This window comes from Homo sapiens, chromosome 5 (genome assembly GCF_000001405.40).
Source record: "Homo sapiens chromosome 5, GRCh38.p14 Primary Assembly".
Classification (NCBI taxonomy): Eukaryota; Metazoa; Chordata; class Mammalia; order Primates; family Hominidae; genus Homo; species Homo sapiens.
The window spans coordinates 170295894-170308700 of NC_000005.10; the positions used below are offsets into that span (position 1 = coordinate 170295894).

The 12807-nt window shown below is 48.1% G+C and overlaps 1 protein-coding gene across 2 annotated transcripts in view, besides 2 other annotated features; it reads right to left on the reverse strand.

Moving 5' to 3' along the window:
• The window catches only part of LCP2 (lymphocyte cytosolic protein 2), a 51545-nt gene extending 49661 nt beyond the window's left edge, over nt 1–1884 (reverse strand). For both annotated transcript variants that reach the window (XM_047417171.1, NM_005565.5), the window contains exon 1: nt 1641–1884. In XM_047417171.1, coding sequence (XP_047273127.1) covers nt 1641–1718 — 78 coding nt within the window. In that variant the 5' untranslated portion in view covers nt 1719–1884. The remainder of the gene's footprint in view (nt 1–1640) is intronic.
• Nucleotides 987–1066: an enhancer, noted in NCBI's record as "active region_23605". NCBI's record gives its function as "activates an Ori minimal core promoter by ATAC-STARR-seq in GM12878 lymphoblastoid cells {active_cell/tissue: GM12878}" and the evidence as "EXISTENCE:reporter gene assay evidence [ECO:0000049][PMID:35858748]".
• Nucleotides 7153–8352: an enhancer, noted in NCBI's record as "BRD4-independent group 4 enhancer chr5:169730050-169731249 (GRCh37/hg19 assembly coordinates)". NCBI's record gives its function as "activates an origin of replication core promoter dependent on BRD2, P300/CBP, MED14 and CDK7 cofactors, and independent of BRD4, by STARR-seq in HCT116 cells {active_cell/tissue: HCT116}" and the evidence as "EXISTENCE:reporter gene assay evidence [ECO:0000049][PMID:35650434]".

The following is a 12807-nucleotide window of genomic DNA, read 5'->3' on the forward strand; positions in this document are numbered from 1 at the left end:
CTCTCCCTTCCCCCAGCTCAGGCAGTGAGGTCTTCCTGTACCATCCCTGACCCGTGGTCCATCTCCCTGTACTGATGGGAGTTTTAGGGATCAATTCTCTGTTGCTCAATTGGATTGTATAATTCTCCTGGTCACACCTGAATGTTAGGCCTATCTGTGCCTCTCAGCCCGTCCCAAGTCTTTCTCTTCATAATTCTCAATTCCTTTCTTTTTCCCTTATCAAGGTAACATGCCACTTTATTCCCTCTTGGCAAATTTTACCTTGTTGCCCTATCTTATTTGGTCTATATTTGAGCAAGATATTTAGAAACATCCTTCAAAAAACCAGTTGCGCAACAATATTTGCTGAAATCTAAGTTTATTATGACCTTGCAGAAGGAAAATAACAGAAATGAAAGCACAAAATATGGCAAAAAACAGGATCTGTGAACTGTACCCCTACCATACCACACCTAGTTCAACATGTTCTCATTTTCTTCTTCAGGTTGGGGGAGAACAGCTGTGACTATAAATGCCTCGGAAATGCATAGACCCCAGGTTTGGCTATACGTCCTAGGGAACCTCGTCTACCCTCTTGAATCTCAATTTCCCCAGGAAAAACACGAAGCTGAATTAGATGACTTCTACCATCTTAGCTTTACAATCTCATCTTTATGACAGTCTGGAATATCAACAGAATCCGATGCCAGCCTGCAGGGATGAGGGTGTTAGAAGCTTAACCGTCTCGCACAAGTCATCTTACCACATGGTCAGGGTAGAGGGACTATAACTAAGTCATGTGGCTTGAGATCTGCCCAAGCAGATGCGTTGTCCCCTTCTGCCAATGACCAAGCACAGGGATCCTTCAACCTTTCCTCTAAGTCCAGAAGATAAGACAGCAACGCTCTGGTCCCAGCACCGCCACAAGCCTCTTTTCCTCTAGGGGCCTCAGTTTTCATAGCTATAAATTGGGGCTCACATCAGTTTTCTGTCCTGCTTCACAAGACTCTCATAAGGCTCCAAGGAGACTGCCCCAGGCGGGAGCTTGAGGACCCCCCTTAGGGTCGTGAGCAGTGAAAGCCCAAATGCTGTGTCTGGCACTGCTCATCATAGTCCTCTATCCAGCCCTCCCACCCTGCCTATTCTTTCTCCTGCCTCCAGGACACCACGTCTCCCCTTTCTAGTAAGTAGCGTTGATCTCATTAGCAGTTACAACAGTTCTCTGCATCTCAGAGCATGGACTTTAAAACCAGATAGGTGTGGCTTGAGTCTTGCCTCTATCACATGTAGTCCCTAGGGCTTCGGACCATTTCACTTCCCTGAGCTGATTTTGCAGCTGAGTCAAGGGGATAACAATGCTGACCTCACAACATAGTAGGGAGCGCTAAATGGGACAGTGCCTGTGAGACACCGAATTCAAACCCTAGCACATAATAGGCACATACTCATTTGAGGGCTTCTGCTCCCATCCTTCTCTCCGGAACTCATGGTCAGGAAAACTCAGCGGTCTATATGGCGCTCACTCAACCAGTAAAGTTGCCATAGGGTTCCATTGCTATCTTATACACCTCCCACATTCTGCCCCAATTCCATCGTCAAGCCTCAGCTCAGCCCACCAAGGGCACTAGCATCATGACCATTCACACAAGAGCAAGGCTTACCTTCTTGAAATAGTCAGCAAGGCTGTCGGGGTCCCAGCCCAGGACCTCTGAGCGAAAGGGCACATTCCTCAGTGCCATGGCTGCTCTCCCGGGAAGAAGCTCACAAGCTGAGCATGGGCGCTTCACCCATGGGCAGAGAAGCTCAAATCCAGAGCTCGGAGGCGTTCTTGGCTCTTCCAACTCCCAGCTACCCTGTGGAACACCCCTGTTGGAGCCGATGTCTTTTCTGGCGTAGCCAGATCCCAGAAAGCAACGGCTTCCTCTGCGAACAAATATGGTCTCTTCTCAGAAAACGACTCAGCTAGTTTCCTTTACCACTTCCTCTGCTGGGCTCTAAATAAGTAAACAAGGAAGCCCAGCTCTGGAGGCTTGAGATGCAGAGAGAGCCACAGGGTTGGTAATTCCCCACTGGCTCCAGTCACCCCAACCCAGTAGGAGAGGCAATGAAGGGGTCTTAAACTCCAATGTGAGTCTGAGTAATTTTCCTTTAAACTCTGGGCACCCATATGTCTACACTGCATTCTTGCTCAGCTGGGGCTTTGCAGACCAAAATCTATCCTGACGGTTGACCTGAAATACAGACAATTTCCCACATCAGTGAACTGCTGGAGCATGTTTTTTTAATGCTTTCCAACCACTTTCCCCTCCCACCATCAAAGACTGGGATTCTTTCAGCTGCCTCTTTACAGTTGTCATGAGAGGGTCCTCAAGGAGTGAGTGAGTCAGGCACCCAGGGCTGAACAAGGTGCTACACTGTGCAGACAGGGCTCAGTTTCTGATATGACTATTTCTGTGCTATGCAACCTTAGGCAAGGAGTTAAAAGCTGGGAATCTCAGTTTCCAAATCTGTATAATAGGAAAACAGTGATTCTTCATATGCACATAAAACTTAGATGCATTCAACTAGACAAACCTAAAAAGAAAAATTAAAAAGAAAAAAAACTTAACAATTGCTATTGGTAGTGTCATATATTCCATTCACTATTGTTTCCACAATATATTTTATTCACTATTGATTCTGCCATATATTCTAGCCAAAGAGCACATTCCCTGGAGATAGGAGGTGAGAATTTGCTGTTTTCTTAGTTTCAGACATTGTTCATTTCTCATAACTGAACAACTTATTGGCAGAGGGTGAGTCCAGTGTATAAAAGCAACTATATTTGTGCAATAAGGCAACCTCTAAACACAAGTTACTACTTCATCTAATGCCACACACACACACACACACACACACACACACACACGAGTCATCTGTTCCAAGGCTGTTGCCTTTACTAAGTGATGCTATGTTGGTCCTTGAGGTGGTGCCTTCCTGAGGGTTTTCAAGCATAGCTTTGGCCATGCACAGTTTTCTTCTTATACACACTCTGAGGAGCCCCGCCGTCACGGTAATGCACCTGCCTCACAAGCTGGTGGGCAGCTTAAATGAAATACACATTTTGCTCCAGGCCCAGCACTAGCTCATCAATGTGAGCTGGTGTTAGCCTCACCTTAGAAGGTGCTGAGGGCATCAGTGAAGGTAGCCCAGGCCATTTGCTCCTTGCAGGGCCTCACACCTAAGAACTCTTTTCTTTTCTCTCTTTCTTTCTTTCTTTCTTTTTTTTTTTTTTTTTTTATTGAGACGGAGTTTCGCTCTTGTTGCCCGGGCTGGAGTGCAATGGTGCCATCTCGGCTCACTGCAACCTCCGCTGCCTCCCAGGTTCAAGCGATTCTCTTTCCTCAGCCTCCCGAGTAGCTGGGATTACAGGCATGCACCACCACGCCCAGCTAATTTTGTATTTTTAGTAAAGACGGGGTTTATCCCTGTTGGCCAGGCTGGCCTGGAACTCCCAACCTCAGGTGATCTGCCCGCCTAGGCCTTCCAAAGTGTTGGGATTACAGGCGTGAGCCATTGTGCCTGGGCCGCACCTAAGAGCTCTTTGTAGCTGATCATTCTGTATAAAGCACAGCTCTGCTGTACAAAAGCTCCATCACGGGTGAGAGGTCACCTGGTCTTTCAAATCACTAGCATAGCAGTGAACAATAAAAAGCCATTTGAAGAGAAAGAGAGAGAGAAATCACTTTGAAGTAGAGTAAGCACAGAAGATGTCATGGAATTAACTGGGATTTAAGCAGGGCCGTGGAGGATGGAGTAAAAGGGAGGGCATTCCTGACGTGGATCAATCAATCTCTCTCTCGCTATCTCTCAAAACACATGCCACCTATGAAAAGGAACATTCCAGATCATCCTTAAAAGTAGAAGCAATTTTACTTTATTTTATTTTAATTTCTCCTTTTTATTTGCTTTTGTTTTATGTTTAGAGATGGGGCCTCCCTCTATTGCCCAGCCTGGAACGCAGTGGCACAATTATAGCTTACTATAGCCTCGAACTCCTGGGATCAAGTGATCCTCTCACCTCAGCCTCCCAAGTGGCTGGGAGTACAGGCATGCACCACCATGCTCGGCTAATTTTTTTATTTTTACTCTTTTGTGGAGATGGAGTCTTGCTTTGTTTTCCAGGCTGTTCTTGAACTCTTGGTCTCAAGCGACCCTCCCATCTTGGCATTACAAAGCGCTGGGATTATAGGTGTAAGCCACCAAGACTGGCCTAATTTTCTTAATGATGTTCACCCCACTCAGGATAAGAAAAATCTACAAAAAAGCAGTTGTAATGAAGGTATCACTAAATATTAGGCTCCTTTAGAAAGAATTATCCAATTAATGTGGCCAAGATGGAGGATCCATGGAGCTCATTTAGAAGACAGACAAAGCAGCTAAGAAACCTGGATGACAATAATGGTGACTTTGAGAAACATAAAGAGACACGATGCCTTGAGCTCTTCCTATGGTCCAGAGAGCACAAGCTAAGAACTTCTTACTGACTGTCTTAATTGTTGGCACTATTGTTGCTCCTACTCTACAGAAGAGAAAATTGAGGCTCCAAGAGGTGAACTACTTGCCCCCTGAACCCAGCAAGTAGGGAGTGAATCCAGGACTCTTCCAAAGTTGATCTGAGTCCAGAGCCCCTGTCCTTGGCCATTTGCCACCTTGAGGCTCTGAGATGTTACAGAAACTGCCTAAGGTAGACTTGGGATTCAAACCCAGTCTGTCTCCAGAGCCTGCGCAGTTTCTTCTCTGTGGCCTCTGGTGAGGAGAAAGAGAGGTTGTCAATCTGAACAAGCTCAGTAAAGGATGCAGCACTCTGCATGAGGCGGGCACTTGGTGCCCCCTCCCCACAGAACCACAGGCCCATTCCTCAGAAAGGGCAGCTGGTGCAAGGGGAAGCATGTTGCTTCAGGCCTGGAGGCTTTCCTCTTCCCCAGGCCTTGCTGATTTCCCAACACTCACGAGTTTCACATCTCCTGTCTCTGGCTGGCGGGTTCCTGAAGCTCCAGAGACCGGGCTAGTTAGCCCCCAAGAGAGACTCAGGAGACCAGAAGGACCACTGTGACCCTGTGCAGGCTCAGCCGCAGGCCCCTCACCTCCAAAATGGGGCGGCCATGAAAGCAGCCTCTGGGTACAGCCCCCGACAGCGTGGCTGCCATGACCATGGAGGCCAGGGGCAGCAGCTGGGTGTACAGCATCTGTCTGTTGGCTTCAAGCATGAAGCAGAGCAGAGGGTGGGGATCCAGTAGGGCATAGTGATTTGAAGCAGTGGTGGGGATACCCTCGCCCATGTCTGTCTCCCTCCCCCAACCAGGTGGAGAACTCCGCAGGTACGAACGAGGAACGAGGTTACAGAGGCCTTCTTAGGCTTTGTGATGCATAGCTCAAGATTTGGGAAAAGGTAAACAACCTCTGAGCAGAATAAAAACAACATTCTAGGGGCTGGGCACAGTGGGTCATGCCTGTGAGTCACGTTGTGGGTCAATCCCAACACTTTGGGAGGCCAAGGTGAGTGGATAATCTGAGGTCAGGAGTTCGAGACTGGTCTGACCCATATGGTGAAACCTTGCCTTTACGAGAAATACAAAAATTAGCCAGGCGTGGTGGCATGAGTGCCTATAGTCCCAGCTACTGGGAAGGCTGAGACAGAATTGCTTGAACCTGGGAGGCGGAGGTTGCAGCGAGCCGAGATGGCACCACTGCACTCCAGCCTGGGTGACACAGCAAGACTCCCTCTCAAAAAAAAGAAAAAAAAAGACAACATTCTGCTCCTACACAGAAACAGGGCTCATGGAATAGGAATGATTTTTCTTTGTTTTTGTTTTTGGAGATGGAGTCTCACTCTGTCACCCAGGCTGGAGTGCAGTGGTGCCCTCTCTACTCAGTGCAACCTCCCCCTCCCAGGTCCAAGCAATTCTCCTGCCTCAGCCTCCCGAGTAGCTGGGACTACAGGCACATGCCGCCACGCCCAGCTAATTTTTTGTATTTTTAGTAGAGATGGAGTTTCACCTTGTTGCCCAGGCTGGTCTCAAACTCCTGAGCTCAGGCAATCCGCCTGCCTCGACCTCCCAAAGTGCTAGGATTACAGGTGTGAGCAACCACGTCCGGCCAAGGGATAGGAACCTTTACTGCACAACCAGTGGAGCCTGTGGACAAGAAAGCAGTACCTGCAGGGAGGCTGTGTCAGATTGTGAGAGTGGATGTGGGAGCAGCAAACTGCAGCCCAGGGCATCGCCTGAATCTCCTCCCCACCCCACCCATCACGTCCAGACTCCCAGCTCCCTCCCTTTCCATCTGACCCACAGCAGAATCATGTGGGCAGATAACTGCCTTCCTTCACCGCTAATTCTAGAGGCGAGAGAAATGCACAATTCCTTAGAAGAGACTTGGGAGTTGCAACTTCTGTGTGTGGGGCTGGGGGAAGGGTCTGGGGAGTTGATGCTTAGGGACGGGGAGAATGGAAAGCAGGGACTTTACAGACGAGAATGTGTTGACCTTCTTAGGAGAGGAACACAAGAAGTTAGAAGGTGGGTGGGAGGAAGTGCTTATTTGAATTTGACTTGGACAGAGGGTCCTGACCATGGGAGAGAGAATAAGGTGGTGGCACGTGGCCCAGAGAGGATGCTGACGTGACACAGACACCACAGGCAATCTGAGGATGCCCTTGCCCGTGTCCACCCAGCCTCACTCCCACCAACTTTTTAACATCTCAGATTTATCACCAGAGGCTGAAGTCCCTTGCTGTTGGAACTTCCTAGAGGGCCTGCATGGGAGCAAAGGCTGCAGCTGTCATCCTCACAGAGAGAGGGGGCAATTTTCCCCTCCATCCTTAAGGCAGGCAGTGGGAGCACCCTCCATGCCTGGGATCCTTGTGGATGGCAAAGGGCTCCACCACATGAGAGAGTCCAGTGGAGCGAGCGGAACCAGGAAGGGGTCCTGACTGCTCTGCTGGACAGAGGGGCCCACCCACTCCAGCAGCCACACTAGAAGGCACAGAACTCGGCAAGCCGGCCTCAGAAAGAGTGTGCAGGCAGGGGGAGACCTGCCTCCCGTGCAACGCATCCTCCATGCAGAGCGCCAGTGCTCACAGCACTCCTGCCGGCCGTGGGTGGGAGGCGGTGGGGAGGGGGCTGGAGCAGCAACCCCATAGGAGCCCTCCTGCAGGCCACACTCCGCTCTACCTCGACAGTCACTGAACTCCCTGCCCCCAGGCCTGGACACAGCTCTGACCTCCCCCGTCCTGGGAGCCGGCCAGCCTGTGCAAGGCAACGAGAAGCAATATTTTCCACTTCCTCCCAGTTGACAATTTCATTCTTTTAAAAAAAACTCTTTCATCCCCTTTCTCTGTGTGCCTTGCTCTGCTGTTTTAGCTAAGTTGCCTCAGAAGTTCAAAGGTGGGTAGGAGGAAGTACTTATTTGGACTTCCTGTCAAACCTTCCCTCCCTGGCTGCCCTATTTTTGACTTTGGCAGCCTGAACCCAGATAGCTCTGCTGTGAAGGGAAACTCCCCAAATGCCAGCAAGCGGGGTGGAGTGGGGGCTGGGGGCCAGAGAGGGGGTAACCGTCTTCTCAACTTAATAGAAAAATCCTTGTCTTCTTCCTTGGCAAGCTGGAGAAGGCAAGATTTCTGGGTGGTGGGAAGGGGTGCCAGAAAATAAAGCAAATGAAATTTATCTCCAGTCAGCAAAGGCACCTGCGACCAACTTCAGCTGCTTCTCCACAAGGAAGAGCTGTGGACCCAGAAAGTGCAAGCACATCCCTAAGATGAAGTGGCTTGCAGTAAACGAGAACAGCATAGATGAGAGGTTCGAGGTACGTTTGAGAAGTGGGCGCATCCTGATTGCATGTAATTTGTCTACCAACCCTTCCACGAGTCTTCAAGAGCTTGGCGAAAAGAAAGGCTAGGTCCTCTTGTGTATGATGTCACATAGCCCTCGTAACTGCTCTTTGTGAAAGGGGGATAGAGTCATACATACTCACTTTATAGATTGAAAACAAAGGCTTGGGGAGACCAAATGCTTTTCCAAGGCCTCACAGTTTATCAGAGGTAAAATGTGGGATTTGAAACCAGATCTGTCTGACACTAAGACTTTCCACCAAAAGATGGCACTTTCCAAGAATAGAAATGTTACGAAATGAATTATCAATACTCACCTAGAGCAGGTCTTTTCAACCATATTTATTAGGAAAGACAGGATATTTTGTTTTTGAGTTCTTGTAAAATGATGATCCTTGGTTTGCATACATTTTTCTCTAATTAAAAATAATTAAGCCTAGCAATCTAATGCTACGTGAGTTTCGCAGGCTCACTGAGTCCCTCAGTTGTACCCTGCAAGTAGAGAAACACCTGTTGAGGGATGCAGAGGTTGGCTGGGTCAGGCTGAGTTGCAGATGGGAGGTGGGGGTGGTGGAGGAAAAGAGTAAAATAAGGGAGGAAAATGACCACAAGCTTTCATTCATTCCAGCTTGAGGCCTCAAGGAAGCCTGAATTGCTCCTGCTATGGAGACCCTGGAGTTGCCTGGCTCCTGCATGTTCCAAGCCTGCTCTTAAAACTGTCCTTTGGGAGGCTGAGGCAGGAGAATGGCCTGACCCCGGGAGGCAGAGCTTGCAGTGAGGCGAGATCGCACCACTGCACTCAGGCCTGGGCGACAAAGCGAGACTCCGTCTCAAAAAAACAAACAAACAACAAAACTGTCCTTTTGAGTAGGCGAACGCCTCCATATCCTTCCAATAAGTAACTTTGTTGCTCAGGTTGCACAGAGTTAGATTCTGTTGCTTGCAACCAAAACCCCAGCTCTTCCACATACATAGACCATTCTCCTTTAATTTGTCCAAACAGTCTCAAGGGGGAAGAGGAGGTAGGCTGGAGTAAGGAAGAGTCATGGACTGGGAGATGGGGAGGTCCCGGGCTTGGATTCTACTCAAGCAATGCCATCAGCTGGGTGTCCAACCTTGAGCCCCTTTTAAAGTTTCCTCATCTTTAAAAGGGACTGATAAAACTTAACATCCCACTTCACGTGCTTTTGCTGACACACGAAGTTGCTTGTGTTACATGTCTGTCCTGTGTCTGACATATCTGACATGGAGATGCTACAAGTTCATTTCCATCCCCCAGACAATTTCTAGATCTTCCTTTTAGTCTATGCTCGTCTCAGTGGCAGGTTAATTTTCAGTTCACTTCTCTTTGAAGCCTCAAGCAAAAGAAACAAATAATCTTTTTTTGTATTTTTAGTAGAGACGGGGCATACAAAAATTAGCCGGGTGTGGTGGCGTGTGCCGATAGTCCCAGTTACTCGGCGGCCTGAGGCAGGAGAATCGCTTGAACCTGGGAGGCAGAGGTTGTGGTGAGCTGGGATTGCGCCACTGCACTCCAGCCTGGGCAACAGAGCAAGACTTCGTCTCAAAAAAATAAAATAAATAAAATAAAAATAATTGGATATCAAGAATTTATTCTGAAAAGCTTTCACGGAATATCATCAGAGGGTGACGGTACATGTGATCTGCCAAACTAGGATATTTTTGGAAGTGGAAGGGATGCTGCTTGTGATATGTTGGGATGGCCGGCAGACTTTGGGGTTGCCCCTGGCAATGGAAACATATGGGATCCCCAGTCACAGAGTTCTCACCCCATTATACTGATGCCTTGGTCTGTTTTCCTCCTGCAGAGTTTCATCTGATCCACCAAAGCAGAATTTCCTACTCCTTGCTTGTGACAAATGGTGACTCTATTTGCATTTAGCAAAAAATTGGAATACTTTTCGTCACAGGCAGAAACTCCAAATGTAACTCAGGTGGGGATAGTTTGAGCACATGCCAATAGCTTATGTTCCCTGAGCCCAGCAACTTTTCATTCCCAGCTGTTTCATGAGGCCTCTTCAGAGCATTGCCTTATCCTGCCCTTACTGGAACTGGAGGGTCCACTTTATCTTTAAACCAAGGTGACTGCATAGGCTCATAGCTCTAAATTAAATGTGTGACTAGCCAGCAGAAGTGCCAGATTCTTACAAACAGACTTGCCCTGTTTCATCCCCCTCAGCCCTGCCATTGTTCTTTGCTATCTACTATAGCGTTTCAGGCCATCTCTTGTGCTCCCTGACGGCCAGGCTTGTGATTTAGGTAGTCTGTCCTAAACAACTGAAGGCCAGAATTTCACAAAACTGCAGTGTCCCCTTAAGGAGGGCCTTTGTTCCTGTTCTGGGGGCTTCCTGTGTGAACCTGGATTCTCCGAGGGACTCAAGTCCATTCTGGAGATTTGGCAGAATGATCCTCCCTGGTCTAGCTTTTCTTCCCAAGTCCAACCCCTCAAAAGTTTCAAACTGCAGATATTTTTTTCTTTCTAGAGACAGAACCTACAGGAATCAAGACGCAGACTCTGGAGTCAGAATAACATGTTTGAATCCCAACTCTGTTACACTCCTGCTGTGAGACCTTGTGCAACTTACTTCTCTGTCCCACAGTTGCCATGGGGGTATGGGAAAAGCTAAACAATAGCATGGATCTCATTGAGTGGTTGTGAGGATTCAGTGAAAGAGAATTAGAAGCATGGATCACAGCCCCTGGCACACTATAGATGGTGTCGTTGCTGGCAGTTTTCACTACTATGAACACGTCTGACTCATTCATCCCTCCCCAGGGACCAGCCCTGAGTAACAGTTGGTTCTCCACTGCTGTGCGTCCCTGGGTTGGAGATAACCTTGAGCTCCCCTCTCCTGTATCACATGTGGGTGTGCACCAGTGGCATGCAGTACTCTGTGATATTTCTGATGTAAACAGATAGCAAAAGTGTAGAGTTGGCTTTTCCTAATAGTTACAAGGAGGTGCTGCAAGCTCAAAGGCTGATAAGGCCAGGGGGAAATGCAAATGAATGAAGCACGTCTGATGGGATAACTGACCGCCTAATGCAACCTACTCTGGGCATTGTATGAGGGTGCAGTAAGGCAGGTGGGGCCTGGGGCAAACAGGGAGCAGCTCAATCCAAGATCATTGCTGCCATACTGTAATGGGGCACATTAGGCAAGAATTTGGGTCCTGTGTTGCCAGATCTTTGTTTAAGAAAAGGTAGAAAGCTAGATATTATGTTTTAAAAAAAATCAAAAAGAAAAATGTGGCAACTGTGGTAGGCAGAATATTGACCCCCCAGAGATGTCCACATCTTCATTTTCGAATCTGAATACGTTAAGTTACATGGAAAAGGGGAATTAAGGTTGCGGATGGATTCGAGGTTGCTAATCAGCTGGCCTTAAAATAGGGAGACAAGCCTAGAATATCTGGGTGGGTGCAGTGTAATCACAAGGGCCCTTAAAAGTGGAAGAGGGGAGGTGGGAGAAGGAAGCACCAGAGGAAGATATGACTATGGAAGCCAGGCACAGAGATGCAACATTGCTGATGTTAAAGATGAAGGCATGGAGCCACAAGCCAAGGTACGTGAGCGGCCTCTAGAACCGGGGAAAGCGAGGAAAGGGATTCTTTCCTGGAAACTTCAGAAAGCAACACGGCTTTTGACTTTAGCCCAGTGAGAATTGTTGCAGATTTTCGACCTCTGGAACTATAAGGTAATAAATTAGTGTTGTTTTAAAGTCACTAAATGTGTGGTAATTTGTTACAGCAGCAATAGAAAATGAATACATCACCTAACAACAAAAAAAAAAAGGACAAACCAACCACGTTTGTTGGCTGTAGAGCTGCTGAGAGCCTCTTGTGACTGAGAATCACTGAATGACAGGTACTATTTTTAAGGTGGAAGGACTTGAAAATCAGCACCCTGGACTCTATGACCTAGTCAGTGTCAGGGAGGGCCAAGATCACACAGCTGTGACTCATACTGGACAGGCCGAGTCCTAGAACAGCACACACACGGCTCTCCAGCCATTGAGGGAAGGCAAATGGAGGTGAAGTAATAGTGGTAAGTTCCTGCCAACGCAGAGTTCACGTCATAAGCACGTGAAACTTACGTAAACACAACTGCACGTGGCTGGAGGGAGAACGAAACAGGAGCTTAAGTAGTGTGGGCTGTTTTGCCTGCTGTTCTATTCAAGAAACAAAGGAATGCCCCAGGGTAAGCTCAAGAAGGCCAGCTGTAGGTGCTGCCTGTTGAGCTAAACCCTGTCCAAGCATAACTTCCTTCCAGACATGGGCGTACATGGTCCCGGGCCCTTTACCTGCCATTGCTGTCAACTCCATGGCCTGCTTCCCAGACGGATGCTCCTGTTTCACAAGCCAGCTGCATTTCTTTTTCTTTTCTCTTCCTTTTTCCTTATTATTATTATTATTATTTTTTTCTTTTTGGCACATGTAATTTTGGAAGCATCGTTCAGTTTCCCCAGGAAGCTCTGCACTGAGTGACGACAGGAACAAGTATGCCTTCATTGAGCACTGCCTATGTCACCGGTGTTCTGGGCCTTGGCGCCTGGATTGCTTTACACACACAGGGTGCTAATTAAGACTGTGGCATGCCTAGAGTTGAATCTCTGGTGAATGGAACCAGATACTTGTCATTGTGGAGGGACAAAGGCCTTTAAAGGGACTTAGTTCCAAAGTGGCAGCCCCTGGGTGTCTTCTAGCTAGGGGCTTTCCATTTGGTCCGCAGTGCTCCTCGCTGTTCCCACTCCCCCAAAATCACTTTGAAAGCATTTAGCTGGGACATCTTCTCTTCTGTTCAGCTTACCCTCAGTCCTCCCCATGATCTTGTATCACCCCGCTTCACTTAGCTACAGTTCCCGCCTAGCCCTTGAGAGAGAGTTTGAGTTTGTGAGAGTTTATCCTTATCCAAGTGCCACATTTAACTCAATTTACTTATT